This window comes from Homo sapiens, chromosome 20 (assembly GCF_000001405.40).
Source record: "Homo sapiens chromosome 20, GRCh38.p14 Primary Assembly".
Taxonomy (NCBI): Eukaryota; Metazoa; Chordata; class Mammalia; order Primates; family Hominidae; genus Homo; species Homo sapiens.
The window spans coordinates 46,345,590-46,364,902 of record NC_000020.11 but is presented as its reverse complement, the minus strand read 5'-3'; the positions used below and the strand labels follow the sequence as shown (position 1 = coordinate 46,364,902).

The 19,313-nt window shown below is 53.8% G+C and overlaps 1 protein-coding gene and 1 long non-coding RNA gene across 8 annotated transcripts in view, besides 7 other annotated features; one reads left to right on the top strand and one right to left on the bottom strand.

Moving 5' to 3' along the window:
- Nucleotides 1–364, bottom strand: part of LOC124904917 (uncharacterized) — a 33,481-nt gene extending 33,117 nt beyond the window's left edge. Inside the window, exon 1 of the long non-coding RNA XR_007067614.1 lies at nucleotides 183–364. This is a non-coding gene — a long non-coding RNA (uncharacterized LOC124904917). The remainder of the gene's footprint in view (nucleotides 1–182) is intronic.
- Nucleotides 338–757: a silencer, noted in NCBI's record as "silent region_12974". NCBI's record gives its function as "represses an Ori minimal core promoter by ATAC-STARR-seq in GM12878 lymphoblastoid cells {active_cell/tissue: GM12878}" and the evidence as "EXISTENCE:reporter gene assay evidence [ECO:0000049][PMID:35858748]".
- SLC35H1 (solute carrier family 35 member H1) lies at nucleotides 478–18,919 on the top strand. 7 transcript variants are annotated; one of them, NM_001281458.2, is made up of 11 exons: nucleotides 478–532; nucleotides 6,140–6,212; nucleotides 6,345–6,516; nucleotides 7,130–7,280; nucleotides 8,266–8,329; nucleotides 9,029–9,101; nucleotides 9,662–9,830; nucleotides 9,938–10,021; nucleotides 12,677–12,852; nucleotides 14,013–14,142; nucleotides 14,379–18,919. In NM_001281458.2, exons 2-11 carry the CDS (start codon nucleotides 6,178–6,180, stop codon nucleotides 14,507–14,509), a joined length of 1,185 nt encoding a protein of 394 aa, NP_001268387.1. In that variant the 5' UTR covers nucleotides 478–532; nucleotides 6,140–6,177; the 3' UTR covers nucleotides 14,510–18,919. The 7 variants fall into 7 exon arrangements, with proteins under 7 accessions (NP_001268387.1, NP_001268389.1, NP_001268388.1 ...); NM_001281460.2 differs by adding an exon at nucleotides 1,681–1,817 and having other exon boundaries at nucleotides 5,945–6,516; NM_001281459.2 differs by having other exon boundaries at nucleotides 6,140–6,516; nucleotides 7,201–7,280; nucleotides 9,725–9,830.
- Nucleotides 7,854–8,353: an enhancer, noted in NCBI's record as "H3K4me1 hESC enhancer chr20:44985189-44985688 (GRCh37/hg19 assembly coordinates)". NCBI's record gives its function as "activates a minimal SCP1, AML or CMV promoter by ChIP-STARR-seq in primed H9 embryonic stem cells {active_cell/tissue: H9 hESC(primed)}" and the evidence as "EXISTENCE:reporter gene assay evidence [ECO:0000049][PMID:30033119]".
- Nucleotides 12,441–13,031: an enhancer, noted in NCBI's record as "H3K27ac-H3K4me1 hESC enhancer chr20:44980511-44981101 (GRCh37/hg19 assembly coordinates)". NCBI's record gives its function as "activates a minimal SCP1, AML or CMV promoter by ChIP-STARR-seq in naive H9 embryonic stem cells {active_cell/tissue: H9 hESC(naive)}" and the evidence as "EXISTENCE:reporter gene assay evidence [ECO:0000049][PMID:30033119]".
- Nucleotides 13,032–13,623: an enhancer, noted in NCBI's record as "H3K27ac-H3K4me1 hESC enhancer chr20:44979919-44980510 (GRCh37/hg19 assembly coordinates)". NCBI's record gives its function as "activates a minimal SCP1, AML or CMV promoter by ChIP-STARR-seq in naive H9 embryonic stem cells {active_cell/tissue: H9 hESC(naive)}" and the evidence as "EXISTENCE:reporter gene assay evidence [ECO:0000049][PMID:30033119]".
- Nucleotides 13,269–13,328: an enhancer, noted in NCBI's record as "active region_17970". NCBI's record gives its function as "activates an Ori minimal core promoter by ATAC-STARR-seq in GM12878 lymphoblastoid cells {active_cell/tissue: GM12878}" and the evidence as "EXISTENCE:reporter gene assay evidence [ECO:0000049][PMID:35858748]".
- Nucleotides 13,339–13,478: an enhancer, noted in NCBI's record as "active region_17969". NCBI's record gives its function as "activates an Ori minimal core promoter by ATAC-STARR-seq in GM12878 lymphoblastoid cells {active_cell/tissue: GM12878}" and the evidence as "EXISTENCE:reporter gene assay evidence [ECO:0000049][PMID:35858748]".
- Nucleotides 13,739–14,033: a silencer, noted in NCBI's record as "tiled region #3706; K562 Repressive non-DNase unmatched - State 5:Enh". NCBI's record gives its function as "represses a minimal TATA promoter and a strong SV40 promoter by Sharpr-MPRA in K562 cells {active_cell/tissue: K562}" and the evidence as "EXISTENCE:reporter gene assay evidence [ECO:0000049][PMID:27701403]".
- Nucleotides 18,920–19,313: the final 394 nt, after the last annotated feature.

Below are 19,313 nucleotides of genomic sequence, written 5' to 3'. Positions count from 1 at the left end.
TTCACAAATGTTTCGTATTACTTCTGGATCGCCCAAGTTTTAAGTTGTAATGGCCCCAGCTGGCCTGAGCTCCCAGAAGAAAAAGCCCATGAGATACTTATCTTCGTGGTTCATTCCATGGTTGCCCAGCATTAGACTGGACATAAGAAAAACAATTTGTTCAGTAAAAGTAAACAAGTTACCATTTTTTGGATGCTCACTGTATGCAGAACACTAGCAGGCACCGGGGTTCCAAAGCAAGCCCCTGATTGAGCGCGGGAGAGACGCAGACAATTACACGGCTGTGCTCTGAGCCTGAGGGACTTCGCGGAGGACAAAACTACGCTGTACCTCAGAAAGACCAGACCACCTCAGAACCCGACCACAACAGACGCCCCGCCCCCGTGCTGCCCCGCCCCGCCTTTTCGCCCCGGCTCCGCCCAGCCCCTGGGTAGCTTCCGGCGGAAGTTACCGCCCGTGCCGCGGTTCGGCGGCGGCATCCGGCCTCGCACTTCCGGTGGGGAGATTCCGGCCTGGAGCTCCCAGGGCCGAGGTGAGTGGGTGTGCGGCCGGCCTCCCGGCGCACTCCCAGAGGCTGGGGGGCCGGGGCTGGAGAAGGGAAGCGGGCTCCCCACCCGGGATCTGCGCGGGTTGACATGGGGCACGCCACGCCCCTGCCCCTCCCCGGGCCTCAGTTTCGCCGTCTGTGGAGGGGGCAGGGGTCTCCAAGCGCCCTCCTGCAAGGCACCTGCCGGACGCCGGCTCATCTGGTATTTCCTGAGCACCTGCGACGTCCTGGGTGCGGGACCCGGGCCGGAATCGGACACGGCCCTGCCCTCTGAGGGGCTGCTTCCCGCGGTGGGATTGGGGCGGGCAGTAAACACGTGAGCAAACAAGGAAACGTCAGAGGTGGGAGTGCCACGAGGATTGGGAGGGGTGGGGCATTGGAGAAAGTATTCAGCCAAGCGGAGGTCTGCGGAAGGGAGCTGAAGGCAGGAAGAGCAGCAAGTAAAGAAAAACACAGGTTTGATGTGTTTGACACGTGGCAGGGGGCCGCTGTGGCGGGTGCTGGGACCAGTGGCAGAAGAATGAGGTTACAGAGGCCTTCCTTGTGGACCAGGCTGAGGAGCTGGGCTTAGCCTTAGGGCATGATCTGTTTCGTGTGCCATCTCTCTGGCTGCTTTATAGATTCCAGGCCTTAGGGGCGAAAGAGGAAACAGGGAGACCAGTTAGACCAGTGGCAGTCAGCAGGTGAAAGATAATTGTGGCTTAGACTGTGGTAGTGGGAATGGAGAGGAAGAGAAGTAGAGGGGTCAAGAAGTGTATTGAAAGTGGAACTGACAGGGCAGGATTTGAGAAATGACAGAAATAAGTGGTCAAAGATGACTTCATCATAGATTTTTGGTTTTGGCTTAAGTAACCAAGTGTATTATGCTGGCATTTACTAAATGACTTTGGGATAGATTGGGAGCGTGAGAAATAATTACGAAATCTTCTTAGGGCATCTTAAGTTTTAGATATTTGGAGTGCAGCTACCAAATAGGCAGTTAGATATATGAGTCTGATACAGAAAAGGTCAGGGCTGATGTAAAGAATTTAGAAATCATTGGCAAGTGGATTGGGTAGGATGAGATTATGTAGGGTAAGATTTAAGAGAGAAGAGAAGCCAGGTTCCAAGCTTTAGGCACCCAATTTTTATAGATTGAGTTGACAAGAAGGTGCCAGCAAAAAAGACCAATAAGGAGTCCAGAAAAGCAGAAGAAAAACCAGGAGAATGTGGTATCGTGGCACCCAAGAGAAGGTTTTTTCTAGGAGGAGGAAGTGATCCATTGTGTAAGGTAAGAATAGAGACTAAGCCGGCCCGGCACGGTGGCTCACGCCTGTAATCCCAGAACTTTGGGAGGCCAAGGCGGGCAGATCACCTGAGGCCGGGAGTTCGAGACCAGCCTGACCAACATGGAGAAACCCTGTCTCCACTAAAAATACAAAATTAGCCGGGCATGGTGGCACATGCCTGTATTCCCAGCTCCTCGGGAGCCTGAGGCGGGAGAATCACTTGAACCCGTGAGGCGGAGTTTGCGGTGAGCCGAGATCACGCCATTGCACTCCAGCCTTGAAACTCCATCTCAAAACAACAACAACAACAAAAAGAATAGAGACTAAGCCTTCGAAGGGGCAGCAGGGAGGAGGGTGTGGTGACTCATTGGAGCAGTGGAGATGGGCTGAAGTGAGAGCAGGGGGTGAAGGAGTTGGACTGGCAGTGCGGGGTCCTCTGGGGAAGTTTCACTGTTAAGGGGACCAGGAGGGGAGTAAGCCTCTACCATGAGCCAGCATTTAATGCTGTACCTGATGCCACTTTACAGTTGGAGAAACTGAGTCCAGAGGTCAAGTAACTTAGGGTCACACAGTAGTGAGTAGGGACACCAGGATTTGATTCTCAGTGTCTAACTCCAAAGCCCACACTCTTAAGCACTAAACCATGCTGCCCAAGTTACAGTTAGGAAGATGGAGGGAAGCAGGTGTGCCAGTGATGCACCAGCCAGCCTTACCTTGATGTGACTGCTGCCCCCAGCTAAGCTGCTCTCTGTGGAAAGTGGGGCAGAATATGGACTTTCCTTCCTGAGCAAATGAGATTTCAAAAAGAGTTGTTTACTCCTTTAAATCTTGTTTCCCTTATAAAATAAGGGTGGGGACCTTTTCAGTTTCACGTCTGTGTCTCCAGTGGTGGGCCTACAGGAGTGCTTGATAAATGCTCATTAAGTGCCTAGATGATCTCCAGGGACCCTTCTAGCTGAGATTTGGCTTTGTGTTTGGGCATAGGTGACCTTCTGAATCCCAATAAGAAAATAAGTTAAATTTGAGACAGTGCTTCTTGTAGGCGGGGTAGCCATAGGGACTTATTGGAGGCAGGGGAACTGGGCCAGGTCTGTGAAGGAAGGTCAGCATTTGAACAGTGGAGGGAGGGTGTTGCGGTGTTGCAGTGCTGCAGCAGGAAATGCAGCAAAAGCAGGAGCTGCAAGAAGTTGGTTAACAGAAGAGTGAACAGACTTCCCTGGCTTGGAAGCCACAGGAGGAGCCATGAGGGAAGAGTGCTCAGAAGAAAGCTCTGTTAGTGCCAGCATGTCCTGTGAGTGCCTGTCACAGGACAGGGTCAGCAGTGGTTCTCAACAGGGAGCAGGTTTGATCCTCAGGTGACATATGGCAGTGTCTAGAGACATTTCTTGGGTATCACAACTTGGGATGGGGGGAAGGATGTGACAGGTGTCTGGTGGGTATGGGCCAGGGATGTTGCTAAACATCCTGCCATGTAGAGGATGGGTCTTCTCACAAAGAATTATCTGTCCCCAAACAGCAGTAACGCCCAGGTTGAGAAACCCTGGCGTAGAGGAAACAGTGTGGGTTTTGAGATCTGTAGACGTATGTTTGAGGCCCATGCGCCCTCTTTGTTGGAGGAGCCTGATGGTGGTGGTTGCAGGAGAAGTAGAGAGAACCGTGTAGGAGACTCCTGCAGTCATTTGGGGAGAGGATGGTGGCTGAGATGGTAGTGGTGGAGTTCAGGACATGTGCTCATATTTGGGATATTTCTGAAGATAGAGCTGACGGTATTTATTGATTGAATGTGGGCTAAGGGGAAGAGAGGAATCAGATGAGCCTAAGGCTTTTGGCCTGAGCAACTAGGAGAGTAGTGGAGCCATTTGCTGGGATGGGAAGTAGGAAGAGGAGCAGGCTTGGATGAAATGGGGGTGTGGAAAACACGAGTCAGTTTCAGACACTCTAGATGTGAGTGAGATGCCTGATATTAGATATCTAAGGGAAGAAGAGGTTAGGTAGGCATTGGATATTCTTCTGGAGTTCACATGAATCAGAGCCGGGGCATATATTGGGAAGACATCAGCTTACAGAAGGCATTTGAAGGAATGAGAATGCATTAGGTCAGGTAGGAGTCTCAACTCATTGGATCTGACACCTCTTTTTTATTACAAATATTTTGTAACAGTCCCTTTTATTACCCTAAAATGAAACATATGATTAATAAAAACTGCCTACACATAATTTTTTAAAAATCAACAAATGCAGCCGGGCGCGGTGGCTCACGCCTGTAATCCCAGCACTTTGGGAGGCAAGGCGGGCGGATCACCTGAGGTTGGGAGTTCAAGACCAGCCTGACCAACATGGAGAAACCCCATCTCTACTAAAAATATAAAAAATTAGCCGGGTGTGGTGGTGCATGCCTGTAATCAGTCCCAGCTACTAGGGAGCCTGAGGCAGGAGAATCGCTTGAACCTGGGAGGCGGAGCTTGTGGTGAGCCGAGATTATACCATTGCACTCCAGCCTGGGCAACAGGAGCGAAACTTCGTCTCAAAAAAAAAATAAAATAAAATATAAATAACCATGCCCTATAACATAAAAGGAAAGTAATTGATAGTAAAACAAAATATGTTTCAATATGTAAGTTTCTGGGCACAATAGTGCTGGAAGTTGCAGTGAAGCTGTCCCTTCTGTGTGGACCCTCTAGGAGTGTGATGGCCACAGACACAGACTGACACAGCCGTGTTGTGTCGCACCTCGAAAACCACTAGTGCCATTGCTGTAGATGATGTGGTTTTTCCAGAATGGACACTTTTGGTGCCATTTTGAGACCAATTTTGACCATTTTCAGTCTCCCTTCATTGTACATAGGCGTCTTATTCTTGGAAGTGTTAGTTCACAGCAGAACCATGGAAACACTGCACTGTGTTTACATGTAAACAGAGTTACATTCTAGGTTCAGATAATTATAAGCTAATCTTTCACCTATATGGATGTCAAAGTCGTGCGGGATGCAGAGCAGTAATTGGCTATGTGGACTGCCCCTTCTTTATCCCTGCTTACTGAACGCCAGGAGCATATCCCCAAAATACCGCCACAGGTTTCCAAAGCTCCTCTGAAGACAACTGTAGCCCCAGAGATTCATTTGGACACAGCCAGCTCCCTGTTTGCCCCGGGGAGGGGAAATAGTAACAAGAGTTCCAGAGTGCAGAATGGAATGTAACTGCTCCCTTCAGAAATGTTGGGGTGGGAGATGGAGAATGTGTCTGATCGTGAAGCCTAGGAAGGCTTCGAGAAGAAGGTGGCGTTTCAATAGGATGGGAATGTCTCAAAGGAGGATCTGTGGTTGAGGGGGGCACCCAGATGAAGCAGCAGGTATCATCACATAACACTGGACCTGAGGCTCCTCCAGGCACAGACAGGTCTACCCGGCATGCTCCGGGCACTCATCAGGGTTGGCTGGATTGACAGGGAGGCTGGGAGTGGTTTCATTTGGCAATACCGTAAGGCAGGCTCTGCTTCCAGGGAGTAGTGGTTACAGCCTGGTCTTACAGTGTTCCAGCCGTTAGAGTGTTGGTTTCCTTCTCCATTTTTAACCCCTAAAGACCAGACCAGTCCCCTGAAAATCGCATGCCTGCTCTCTGTCAGTCATCAAACCAGACGGAGAACTTAAAGTACACCAGCTGTGCGTAAGGCCAGTGTGGTCTTACTGGTCCCTATCTTTGTGCCGCTCGTAGCCTCTCAGGGGACAGACATTACTCAAATCACACCCTGCACAAGTGCTATGAAAGAGAAGTAGGAGAGCCGTGAAAGCAACATGTATCTCAGGGGACTGATTCAGGGGATGGGGTGGGGTTCCCTGAAGAAGTGACCTCTGAGCTGAAGATAGGTAGGATTGATGAAGGACTGAAGGGTGGGTGCAGTGTTCGTTCATTTCCTTCAGACAACGGGAAGAAAGCTGGTGTGTTTGGGGAGCTGAAAGGCGCCCAGTGGGGCCAGGTCCTGGAGAGCCTGTGGCTGAGACTGGGAAGACCAGCAGGGCCAGATGAGGCCATGGGAGCCGAAAGAAGGGTGCTGGTCTTTATCAGAAAAGCACTGGAAGCTGCTGAAGGGTTTTAAGCAGTGGCCTGACATGATCAGTTTGTGTTTTAAAAGGTCACTTTGGTGGCAGTTCATGGAGAATAGCTTGAGGTGACAAGACAGCAGACACGACGTGGGTCTCTGGGACTGCCTGTGCCGTTGTGGGCAGCCCCTCCAGAGCCCTGAGTCACGCAGCCTTCAGAGGCACCCATGGCTACGAGAAGCACAGTCTCTGCCTGAGGCTCCAGAGCGGCCCTTTTTCCCCAGCAGCAGACCTTGGGACCTGTGAGCGCTGCATCCAATTAACCATGGGAAGGGTCAGCACCAGCCACCAGCCCCTTAGGTGAGGACTCTGCCTGGGGCTCTGCTGATGGTTCCGAATCATGGAGCTGCAGAGAGCTCCTCCAGCCTGGAGACGTTCTTGGTGAAAGCTGTGGTCTAACTCCACCGGCTCTTCCTGCACATTGTATTCAAGAGGGGTGCCTGCCCCCGCTGACTCAGGAGCTCCGGTGCTGCAGCCGCCACGAATGGGGAGGTGGGCCCTCGATGTGGCCTTTTTGTGGAAGGCGGTGTTGACCCTGGGGCTGGTGCTTCTCTACTACTGCTTCTCCATCGGCATCACCTTCTACAACAAGTGGCTGACAAAGGTACCAGGAGGCCTTGCTGGGGCGGGGTGCTGGGATGAAGGTGGCCAGAGCCATGGCTACGGTGCCCTTCATGTTTAACAGGAAGGCACAAGCTTCAACCAGTCTAACTGGAAGCCAGTCACGGCTGGGCTGGAACAGGGCCCTCCAAGCCTGCCGTGCCAGGGTTCCCCTTCAGTGTTTGGATCCAGGGAAACCAAGGAGAGCGGGGGGTGTGAAGGGATGAGCTGGGGAAACTGGGGCTCAAGCAGCAGCTATTTACCCCACTAGAGAAGTATTTCAATATTTTAATAAGTGATACAACGTAGTGGGCCGCAGTGGCTCTCACTTGGGCATAGGCCGTGAGGAAGGCTGGGCAGGTAGCTCACAGGTGTGTTGAAATGGTGGAGACAGCACCAGGCTAGGATTGAGTCTCTTGGCTGCCACCTGTCTTCGTGACCTAAGAGTCTGTCATTCCAAGCGATGATACCGTAACTAAGGGCCCTACACACATAGCAAGGTCCTCATGAACCACCGAATGAGCCCCACTCCAGCAGAGGGGCGAAGAGGAAGAGGGAGCCGGTGGGGGGCAGGCTGTCTAAACCAAGCCGGGGTGTCTGCTTTGGGCTCCATACAGAGCTTCCATTTCCCCCTCTTCATGACGATGCTGCACCTGGCCGTGATCTTCCTCTTCTCCGCCCTGTCCAGGGCGCTGGTTCAGTGCTCCAGCCACAGGGCCCGTGTGGTGCTGAGCTGGGCCGACTACCTCAGAAGAGTGGCTCCCACAGGTAGGTGGGGGACCTCAGTGAGGGCAGAGCAGGAAGAGGGGCTGGGGAACCATAGGATGAGAACAAGAGAGACACCCGCATGTCTGGAAGCCAAGTCCCTCCCCTCTTCCTGCACTGTTCCTCCTCTGCCCTCTTGACCTGGCCTCCCACCACCCACGCTGCTGCCTCTTGTGCACTGCGTGCCTTCCCACTGCCCCACCACACACCCACAAAACCCCCCCTGCACCTGCGGCCCCGCAGCTCCCTCTCCTGCCAGCAGACACCGAGCCTGGAGTGCAGCCCTCAGGCCTGGAGATAAGTGGTGAGCAGGCAGGGTCCCTGCCCTCGCAGGGCTGTGACACGGACATGGAGGGCACTACGGAGCCCAGGGAGGGGACCAACCCAAGGCCGGGGCCCATGGCTGGTAGAGGAAGATTTCCTAGGCCAGGTGCCAAGTAGGCAGAGCCCTGAAGGATGCGTGGGACTGGTTGGCCCTGGGAGGAGGGGCCCTCGTGGCCCGAGGGAGATTTAGTGCCAGCTGTGGGGTCTGGAAGGGAACTCAAAGTGTTTCAGGATACTGAGAACCCGGTGCTGGCCAGAGGAAGTGGGAAAAATGAGAACTGAGAGGGTGGGCAGGGGTCATGTCCTGGAGGCCGGATTCCCCGTGGAGGAGTTTGTGTTCCATCCTGAGGGAAAAGGGTTTCCAGTAAGGGATCAACCAGATCAGGTTAATACCTCCGCTCAGGGGGCTCGCCGGAGTGTTTGTGGAAACCATACCGGCCCAGCCAGTTGGAATGGGCCCCAGCCCTAATGCTAGAGCAGCCCCCGACCTTTGGGGGCCAGATATTAACCCTTTAGTTGCTGGTGGAAAAGAAGGCCCAAGGGCCCCACAGGAGGCACCGGGATGGTTCAGAAGTGGGGGACACTCAGGTGCCTCAGGGTACCAGCCCACCCCAGCAGAGTGTGGACCTCCCAAGCTGTCCTGTGGGTGCCTGTGTCTTCACAGCTCTGGCGACGGCGCTTGACGTGGGCTTGTCCAACTGGAGCTTCCTGTATGTCACCGTCTCGCTGTGAGTACTGGCCATGCCCTGCTGCCTCCCTTCAGGCTGAAGCTGTCTGTCTGTCCAGCGGGGTGTCTGCACACCCGGCTGCTAGGCCAGCCACTCCACCACTCTGGGACCAGCCCTTGCTCTCTCAGCCTCTCCCTGGCACCCAGCAGCTCTCCGGGAAGTCGCCAGCCTCTTCCGTAAGCCCAGCGCAGAGGAGATGCTGTGCCCACCTGCCAGGCAGCGTGGGGAAGCCAGGGAGCTCTCCCAGAACCCCATCATCAGAGCAGGGGAAGGCAGGCTGCAAGGCCACAGACAGGTGGCCACTGGTGGGTGGTACACGCAGCCGCAGCAGAGCCCTATGTGGCCTGGGGGCTACACAAGAGTTTCTTCTTCCCTCTGATGTTTTGCTTCAGAGAGCACTGTTCCTGCCTTCTTGTCCTCCTACTTCTCATCCTTCCTTCCCGCTCCTGGGCTCTGCCGAGGGTTAGGTAAAGAACAGGACTCAGGGAGCTCAACGTCAGACCTGTAACCTCTTCTCTCTGGTGATAACCAGAGGCCTCTTAGTCAGAGATTCCTTCTGATTAAAGGTCGCTTATCACTCAGATGACAGCCCAGCTCTGTTTGGTCATTTCGCTCAGTGATTTGTGCTCCTGCTCCTTTCTCGGTGATGGGTCTGAGCCCTGAGCTCCAGCAGTGCATTGTGGGTAATTTTGCTTCCAGGTACACAATGACCAAATCCTCAGCTGTCCTCTTCATCTTGATCTTCTCTCTGATCTTCAAGCTGGAGGAGCTGGTGAGGCCCCAGCGTCTCTTGTGTCCTTCCTGCCCCCACAGATGCTAAGAATAAAGTGGGAGTCTGAGCAGTGGCTTGTCCTGCTGTGTGACAGAGGAGACAAGCCCAGTCCAGGTGGCAGTAGATCCCTTTCTGAGAAGGGACCTAGACATGGGCAATACTCAGAATATTTAGAAACCAGTGTGGCAGGGTAATGACCAAAGGTGAAAGCACTGCAGGATGAGGGTCCCAGCAGAGCTGGGTCTAGGAAGCACCCTGCTGTGGGAGGCAGTAGCCCTGTGTGTTAGGCCCAGGGAGGAGGTGGGACCACTTGGGGGCCTAGGACAGCCGTCAGTGTGGCAGAGCAAGCAGGGCTGTTGGCATACCAGCTGACCGTCAGCCCTACATGCTGACATTGGTGGGCAAGGACTGTCCAGGACCCCCTGGGATGGAGCTGAAGGGTGGAAGGATTTCTTGCCCCAGGGGCAGCCAAGATGGCTGCTGACCCCAGGCTCCAAATGTGATGAACCCTTGACCCTCAAGACCCCCGAGTTAGCTGCCACTGCTCCCCATCCTACCAGCGCGCGGCACTGGTCCTGGTGGTCCTCCTCATCGCCGGGGGTCTCTTCATGTTCACCTACAAGTCCACACAGTTCAACGTGGAGGGCTTCGCCTTGGTGCTGGGGGCCTCGTTCATCGGTGGCATTCGCTGGACCCTCACCCAGATGCTCCTGCAGAAGGCTGAACTCGGTGAGCACGTGCCACTCATCCTCCAGAGAGAGGAACCCCGGCACAGGCAGGGCGGAGGCAGGGCAGGGCCGGACCAGACCTGATGGTGCCTGTCCCCCGCCCTGCAGGCCTCCAGAATCCCATCGACACCATGTTCCACCTGCAGCCACTCATGTTCCTGGGGCTCTTCCCTCTCTTTGCTGTATTTGAAGGTACGTTGGGCCTTCCCTCTCAAGGGCACCTCAGTGCAGCAGACCACAGATCCTCGCCCTGAGCCCAACACAGTGGTAGCTGCAGAGATTATTGAGATCAAAGATGCAGTCCCTCCCCTGGAAGCGCATGGTTTGGGGTCCAGCATGATAAACGCTACAGAGAAAGCACATATAAAATTCAGGGAACAGTAACAGTAAGTGTGCACAGAGCCCTGAAAGTGCACCAGGGCTGTTCTGATCTTTTTAAACATAGGAACTCATTTCATCCTTCCAAAAACCTGGTGTGGCAGTACTATTATTATCCCCCATTTTGCAGGTAGAACAAAATGAGGCCCAGAGAAGTAAAGATAACTTGCCCAAGGTCCCATAGCTCGTAAATGAGCCAGAATTTGAAGCCAGCAGCCTGGCTCCAAGTGGTCCAGCCCTACTCTTAACCACCCTATCTTGCCTCTAAGGAATGGGGAATCAGGGATTGTTCCAAGATGCTGGAGTAATCAGGCAAGTCAGAAAGGCTTCCCAGGCCGTGGTTTGGAGGGTGAGTGGGATTTTGGCAGGCTGCAGGGAGCAAGGCATCTCGGAAGTAGGAATAGGAGGTTCAGCCATGTCCAGGAATATAACCTGGGGATGTGTGTTCAAGGAGTGTGGGCCACGCAGGATCAGCAGAGGGTGGGCTTCCAGAGCTGGGGGCTGAAGACCAGGAGCCAGCACACAGGAGCCTGGGGACATGGTCAGTTGTTCCTCCACTGTCGTCCTCCAGGGATGAGGAGAGCCCTGGAGAACTGTGTAGGCTGGGAGGTGTGACGCCACCTTCCTTTCTTTGATGTTTTGGGATTAGCCTTTGTCCCCTTTCTGTTTATCCTTCCTCCCAGAGTCCCGTCTGTAATGCCCTCAGGGTCATTACAGAAAATTCTGTCCCACATCCATTTAAGTTTCAAGCAGTGAAGCGTCTTGAACCTCCCCAAGAAAATTATTCTGAAGCCCCGTTGTCCAGGAAACTTCTGTTCAGGGCCTCGTTTTTTTTCCTTCTTTAAAATCTCTCCCCACTCCTTCATTATGCCCCCTTGTACCAAACGCCACACTCTCCCTCCCCTCCCGTGTGTTTACACCATGCCCCATCTCTGCAAAACCTCATCTGAAAGCCCCTGGTAGTCGTCACTTGGCAAAGCTGCATGGATTTAGCTCCTTTAATCTTTTCTGGTAAATTAATCCCCCAAGCGCCTTCATTACTTATGCTGCTCTTCCCCGAATTCCCTTCAATTTGCCGACGCCTTTGCAGTTCTGCTGAGCCCAGCACCAAACAAGATGTCCTACACTGTGAGGCTGTTTTGCCTGGGGGGACTGTCACTCGGCATTTCTTTGGTGCTTCCCTCCAAAAATCTCAAAATACTCGTCCAGCTTCCAGCTACCACAGTTGTCTCTTGTGCCCAGTTCTGGGCCCCCCTTCACCCTGTGCTAATACACCACGAGGACTTTCGTGTGGGAGGGACGCCGGGAGTCATTCTTCCAGATGGACAGTGTTGGAGGGACCATGACTCCTCCGAAAGTCTAAGCTGAATTTGGGGTAGGGGGTGTGCATGCCTGTGTTTCTGGAGCAAGGGGCCATGTGTTTGCATTTTCTTTTTGGGAAATGTTCATCAAGTGATACCACGGGTTGGAGAAATACCAGTCTGGTCCCAGGCCTCTCATTTTATCAGTAAGGAAACTGAGGTCCAGAAAGGGGACACATCTCAGCCCAAGTCCCACAGCTCTGTACTAGCAAGACCTAGATTAAAATGAACGTTTGTAGGGATAGAATTTTGTCCCTGTTTGTAGGTGAACTGGCTGAAATGTAGACCAAGGAGTTCCCTGAGTGGGCTGGGGCACTGTTGGTCCTTCGTCACTTGGTAGCCGCCCTACCTTCTTTAGCCCAGTAGTTACCACAGCTCCAAAGACCCCATGAAGTCAGCAGCCATGAGCCCCTCCCCACAGACCAGTAAGGGAATACTGTCCAAAGGTGCAGGGCACTTCCATCCGTCTTTCCATGCAGGGCCACCCCCCTCTACTTCACCCCAGAGGCTCAGACGAGCCCTCCCCATCATTCCGCTAGGATCCCCATCATCCCACTAGGATCTCCATCATCCCGCTAGGATCTCCTTCATCCCACTGGGATCTCCTTCATCCCGCTAGGATCCCATCATCATCCCACTAGGATCCCCATCATTCCACTAGGATCCCATCGTCATCCCGCTAGGATCCCATCGTCATCCCGCTAGGATCCCATCGTCATCCCGCTAGGATCCCATCATCATCCCGCTAGGATCCCATCATCCCGCTAGGATCCCCATCATCCCGCTAGGATCCCATCATCCTGCTAGGATCCCCATCATCCCGCTAGGGTCCCATCATCCCGCTAGGATCCGCATCATCCTGCTAGGATCTGGCTTGTATTGCCCCCAGGCGCTCTGGCAGCCATCACTGCTTCCCTGGTTTCCCCAGGTCTCAGGCCATCTGTGTGGGATCACTTTATACCTTCCATGCTTTTTCTCTGGGCTGCAGACAGTTAGCAGGTCTCAGTAAGAACTCACTACTACAGTGGAAGATCTTGTGTGGTTGGCATTGGGCTGGCCAAGGCAGCCCAGGACCCGGCCTCCCACTCTCTCTCCCTGTTGCTTTCAGGTCTCCATTTGTCCACATCTGAGAAAATCTTCCGTTTCCAGGACACAGGGCTGCTCCTGCGGGTACTTGGGAGCCTCTTCCTTGGCGGGATTCTCGCCTTTGGTTTGGGCTTCTCTGAGTTCCTCCTGGTCTCCAGAACCTCCAGCCTCACTCTCTCCATTGCCGGCATTTTTAAGGTACAGACTCGGGCGTGATGCCAGTCCTGTCTTAGAGAGGGAGCCCCCAGGGGTTTCTCACCAGCAGCTTCAGTCCCAGCTCCTGCACCCCAGGGCCCTGCAGAGAAGAGAAGGAAGTGCCCCATTAGGTGCCAGGCACTTTGCTGAGTGCTGTGCTGGCCCCTCCTTCTGCCTTGACCACAGCCCTGTGAGAGGGTATGATCACTCCCATCCCACAGACAGGGACACAGATGGAGAGCCGCCCCTCCCCAAGGGCACAGCAGGGGCCTCAAAGCCAGCTCTGACTCTGCTAGGCCTGGAATGCATTCACATTTTACCTTGACTGCCAACTCTGGCACTGGGCAGTGGCCTGGAGCCACAGGTTGAACAGCCCCTATCCAGACTCATCAGGAAAGAGTTCCGTGATTGACTGGCGGTGTCCTCCAAGGCCATGGCCAGGGCTAGTGAGACCCTGAGAAAGCACCCCTGTGGCCAGCCTTGCTGTACCTCTGCCTCGCAGGCCTGTCCTTCCCTCTCATACCTCTTCTCACTTCTCCTTCTCCCTCCCACACATTTCAACAGTCCTCCCTGTTCAGGGGCAGGGAGGGACTTTTCTCTTTGGCCAGGCACACACCAGTGTTGAAGCAGTGTTGCCTAAACCCAGAAATGCAGGCCTGTCCAAGGGTCTTCTGGTGGCCAGCCGCATGCTGAGGCATGGCTGTGGTTCTTGGATGAACGGCCTTGCCAGTCCTGTTTGGAGTCTCTGTTTATAGAGAGCCCCGGGACCAGTTGTGTCTTCAGTCCGGGGTAACACAGCATTCTCACACATAGGCTCAGGGCTCTCTTCTGTGGCTGCCTTCTGGGGCAGCCGTCCTTTATCCTTGTGGATAAGGCGCGATCTGGACACCCTGGTCCCCAGCCTGGGATCTGGTTTGCCTCTTTTATTCCTGACAGAATTCCATGACAAGCACCTCCTTTGTTGCATCTCACAAAAGGAGGCTGGCGGGACAGCGCCGCAAGCCGGCCGGGTCCCCTGACCTCTCTGCCTGCCTGGGCCCAGGATTTCAGTAAGATCTTGATCTGCCCACCTGAGTGTACCTAGTGCCCCCACCTTCCACCCTCCTGGTCAAGCAGCCAAATCTGCCTGTTGATCATGCTCCCTCCTGCTTCTCTGCCCCCAGGAAGTCTGCACTTTGCTGTTGGCAGCTCATCTGCTGGGCGATCAGATCAGCCTCCTGAACTGGCTGGGCTTCGCCCTCTGCCTCTCGGGAATATCCCTCCACGTTGCCCTCAAAGCCCTGCATTCCAGAGGTAACCCAGAGTCCCTTCCAGAAGCCTCTGTTTTCTGTTCTTCTCCCTGTGACTCTTAGTGATTCTGATGCAGGAAGTGTGCCCGGTGGCTCTGCTGCCGTCACTCCTCTAGGAAGATGTGGGGGTCATCTCCAGAGTGGGTGGGTGGGGCCTGGGTGACTCAGCACACATGCAAATCAGAGCAAACCAAGAAAACCACGACTGGGCCTGTAACTGTGGTCTCTCTCTATCCCAAGGTGATGGTGGCCCCAAGGCCTTGAAGGGGCTGGGCTCCAGCCCCGACCTGGAGCTGCTGCTCCGGAGCAGCCAGCGGGAGGAAGGTGACAATGAGGAGGAGGAGTACTTTGTGGCCCAGGGGCAGCAGTGACCAGCCAGGGCAAATGGCTTAGAAGCAGGCCACTCCCCAGCCTGCTGCCAGCACTCACTGTGCTCAAGCCGCCAGGGCTCATCATGGTAGCTGGGAGCTGTGGACGGGAGTCACCAGGTGGTGGGGCCAAGCCAGGGACTCATGACTTTTGCCCCTCCCTTCAGAGCCTGGTCACACAAGGGGCGAGCACCAGGCCAGCCTGGGACTGGCCAGAGCTGGGCCCAAGCTGCGCTGGAATCGCAGCAGGAGAGGGGAGTGGGCTGGTTCTTCCCACCACTTCCCAGGCTCTGACAGCCGAGACTCATTTCCAAGGCACAGCAGCTTTCTAAAGGGACTGAGTTTGGACTGGGTTTTGGACCTCCAGGGGCTGGAGCTTCATCACCTGGGCAGTGTCTTTTCTCAGAGAGCAGGTTTCTTTATAGTTTGGAAATAAATGGTTCACGGTCCACTGGCCGCCTTGTGTTGCTGGAGACGTGGGGGCAGGGAGGGGACAGTGTGGGCCTGGCCTCTCCTTTCCTTTCCCTGCCTGGAGCCTTCTTCAAATGTCTGGTCTTAAGCCAGGCCTCCTTCATTTTCTCGCTCCTGTTAGAACACCAGTCCCCTCCCCAGTGGGGCCCCACTGCACCTGCTGGCAGGAAATAAATGAATGTTTACTGAGTACTGCATTCTGGAGACCTTACATGTTTTCACAGCCTAGTTTGAATACTGGCTTTGTCACTAGCTGTGTGACCCTAAGCAAATGACCTAACCTGTCTGTGCCGTAGTTTTTTAATCTGTGAAATGGGGATAATGTCTATCTCAGAGTCCTTTTGAAGATTGAGTCATTATTAGTAACAGATTAAATGTTATATAAGCATTTCTTTTAATCCTTTTAACAACTAAGAGACTAAAGCCTGGAAAAGATAAAGAGCTGCTTAAGTGGCCGGGCTGAGGTTCACATCCAAGTCTGTGTACGTCTGTGTGTGCACGTGCTGCACGTGACATCCACACAGCCTCCTGGAACTTCATGGGCCCCTGGGGCTTGGGCTTTCCACTCCTCCTTGGCCAAGTCCCACGTCTTCTCTAGACTGCAGGCCTCTCTCAAATGAGGAAGGGAGGGGGCAAGACCCCAGCTCTGATGTGCTGTGGACTGAGTCTACTCCTGTAAACTGGTTCCCGGGCCATGGGAGACCCCCCCGGCCCTTGGGGACAAAGCTTTCCAGGCGAAGTGCTCCTAGGCACTCACAGCAGGTGGCGCCATTGCACCACACTGGCTCCCAGAGCCCAGCTGCCCTGCCACGGCTATCCAGACACCGGCAGAAAAGGGGTGCTTGGAAGAGGACAGTGGGTATCCATGGGTGGGGACAAGGATAGGGCTTGTTCTAAAATTGTTTCCATCAGGTTGGAGTCACTAAAGCTCGTTCGGTTAAGCCCAGGAGAACTTTAATACTTTAAAAATGGGTCTGCAAACTTCCTGTAAAGGGCCAGATAGTAAATATTTGGGGTTTGGGGACCATATGGCGTCTGTTGCAGCTACTCTGCCATCGTAGCACAAAAGCAGCCATAGATGACACAGACCCAGGGTGTGGCTGTCCCAGTGAAACCCCATTTACAAAAGTAGGATCCAGCTTGCTGGCTGAAGTTTACCAGCAGGAGAACCCTCAAGAATTCTCGAGTCCAACTTCCACTTCTGCAGCAGGAGACTGAAGCCAGGAGGGGGCGGTGACTAGCCCGAGGCCCTCAGAGCCTCCGTGCTCAGGAGTCAGACCGAGATCTGCCTCTAATTCAGATTCCCAGCACAGACTCAGCAGGCGGAGGTGGAGCACCAAGGGCGCTTGGAAGCGGCCTCTTATCTGGCTCCTGCACCTCTGCCCCCCTTGGATTCCGCAAGCTCAGAGGCCAAGATTAAAGGAGGCTCGTGCTCCAGCTGGATGATGTGGGAAGAGCCAGCCAAGGAGGGGGGCCAGGGCCTCCTCCGTCTTAGAGGCTGCTTGGGATGCAGGCTGCTTGGGCGGCAGGGGGAGTCTGCCAGAGCCCCGCTGGCTCAGGTGGATGAGAGCTTCCTGTCTGCTCCCCCACTGCCCGCCTCCCAGCACAGGGAGCAAGCGTTGCTGTCTGGTGCAGTAATTACAAGGTGCAGAGCGGGGGCCCTTACCTCGCACATGTTGGGTTCAATGACAGCCCTTCATTTAGCAGCAATTACCAGCTGAACCTAAAGGAGGGCTCCCTCTCCTCCCCCACCCAGCCCACCCAATCGCCTGGCCTCCCAGGCCAGACAGCGTCCACCTCGGCATTGAGCCCTAGAACCACCCATGCTGTCTGCAGCCATTGCATCTCAGGGCTGCAGCATCACCATGGCAACGCGGTGCTTGCACAGGTTGAGGGGAAGCTGAGGATGTGACTTGTCTCTCCAAGGCTGTGGTGTCTGTCCCCACACAGCCCCAGCTCCGAGGCTTCTGCAGAAGGGGCGGAGAGAGGACTGACCTGCAGGTTCGAGTTTCAAGTGCTTACCTGCCCACCACCTCTCCCAGGGGCCCACAGTGGAAGGAAGGTTAATGGCTCCAATATGTGAGGACGTCCACAGTTGGTGTTGTGGTGGCGGTGAGAATGGGCTGCAGTTTGCCTGTGGGAGGGACCTGAGCCATCAGGCAGGGCCCGGCATACCTTCATCTTCACTCCGGTACCCTTTTCTGCCTTGAGGGCTCAAGGGATTGTCTCCATCTGTTTCTGCTTTATCCTGCTGTGAAAAACCTGAAAATCCCAGTGGCTTGAGAGTAGTTACATGGCACCAAGAGAATTCTCCTCATGGTACTTGCTGCAGCTTCCTGCATCACACACTAGTGATGGACTGAGGGTGGGGACTCCCAGGCCATCCATTTAGGTCGACAGCATTCAGTGAGTACTGGCTACATGGCAGACACTGCCGGACTTGGGGACAGAGACATTCATTTTTGGAGTCAGCCTTCCTCCCAGCCCAGGAAAGTGATGAGGCAGTGGGCTGGGGAATGGGGAAGAAAGAACAGAAAAGACCGTTCACTGGGCACCATCTAGGCCTTTGCCATAGGTTATTTAATCTGTAACAGCCCGGTGCAGTAAGGACTGATTGTATTTCTTTCCTAGCTGTGGAAACTAAGTTCCAAGTGGTTAAGCATAACGATGGCTAAGGATACAACCTGCAGACGCCGTAGAGTGAGAGACGTGTCTCTCTTTGCTGTGATTAGCTGCGTGCTTTTGGACACGTTGCTGATCTTCTCCGAGCCTGTTTCCTTGTCTCTACAGAAGGAATAATAATACATACACCTGAAGGAAGCTACTGTGAAGGTGAAATAAAATAATGTAGGTAAAGCACACAGTGCTCGGCTCATAGTCATCACCACTCAGGAAATGGAGCAGGAAGGACGTCACATAACTCGCCCAGATGAGAGGAGGAGCCAGCGTTGGAGCTCTGGCCTTCCAAGATCCCCATCTCTGCTGCAGTGTCTGGTACTGAGCATGCACTTAACAGATGCTTTTTTTTTTTTTTTTTTGACATGGAGTTTTTGCTCTTATTGCCCAGGCTGGAGTGCAATGGCACGATCTTGGCTCGCTGCAACCTCCACCTCCCGGGTTCAAGTGATTCTCCTGTCTCAGCTTCCCAAGTAGCTGGGATTACAGGCACCCACCACCATGCCTGGCTAATTTTTTGTATGTTTAGTACAGGGAGCTCTAAAGCTGAGATGCCTTTCAGAGTTGTCCCAAGTTGGGGTGAGAGGTTCATGGCTTTACGCCACAGCATTTTTTGTATTTTTAGTATTTTGTATTTTTGTATTTCAGTACATGTTGGCCAGGCCGGTCTTGAACTCCTGACCTCAGGTAATCCACCTGCCTTGACCTCCCAAAGTGCTGGGATTACAGGTGTGAGCCATCGCACCCGGCCCAGATGCTTGTTTTTTGAAGGAATTTCCACTAGCGGAAACTAAAGTGGGGATTTTACAGGTTCTAACTTCCAAATGACTTGCCCTGTAAGAAGGGGCTGCTCCCTCCCACCACCGCCCATTCCTGCCAGCCTCCGGTCTCCCAGCCATCCCATGGAGTTTTCACCCTAACTGCACAGCCCTGACATCAGCCACGTCCCTTCACCCCTGCTTTGTAGTAACCAATTAGCTTAACGTCTGTTCCCATGGTTATTTAGTTTCGTTGGCAACTAACATACTTCCCAGAAACAGGCCAGCATCTCCCAGTCCCACCACCATCCTGCTGGTGGGGCCGTCCTCTTCTGGATGTCAGATGAGAACTCTCCTGCTGGGGAACAACAGAAGGACAGAACATAGAACCAGAGGAAAATGCATTCAAATGCATTCCATCAGTGTTTCTGGACAGTCTACAATGTGCCCTGGCCGGTGATCGCTGCTGGAGATATCGAAGTCATTAAAACATGGTCTCTGTCCTCAAGGAACTTCTGTAGGGCTTTTTATTTTATTTTATTTTATTTTATTTTATTTTATTTTATTTATTAGAGATGGGGTCTTCCTCTGTCTTCCAGGGTGGAGTGCAGTGGCACAATCATAGCTTACTGCTACCTTGACCTCCTGGGCTCAAGTGATCCTCCCACCTTAGCCTCCTGAGTTGCTGGGACTGCAGGCTTGTGCCACCATGCCTGGCTTCTGCAGGGCTTTTTAATCCAGTGGATTCCCTGGGAATTAGATTCAGAGATGGAGATTAGAGTGCAGGACATTTATTAGAAAGTGGTCTTGGAAAAATTACCTGTGGAAAGGAGAAGGCGGCAGGTTAGGGCAGAGGGGAAGTTGAGCTTCAAGGCAGTCCTACCAAAAGCCTCAGCCAACCC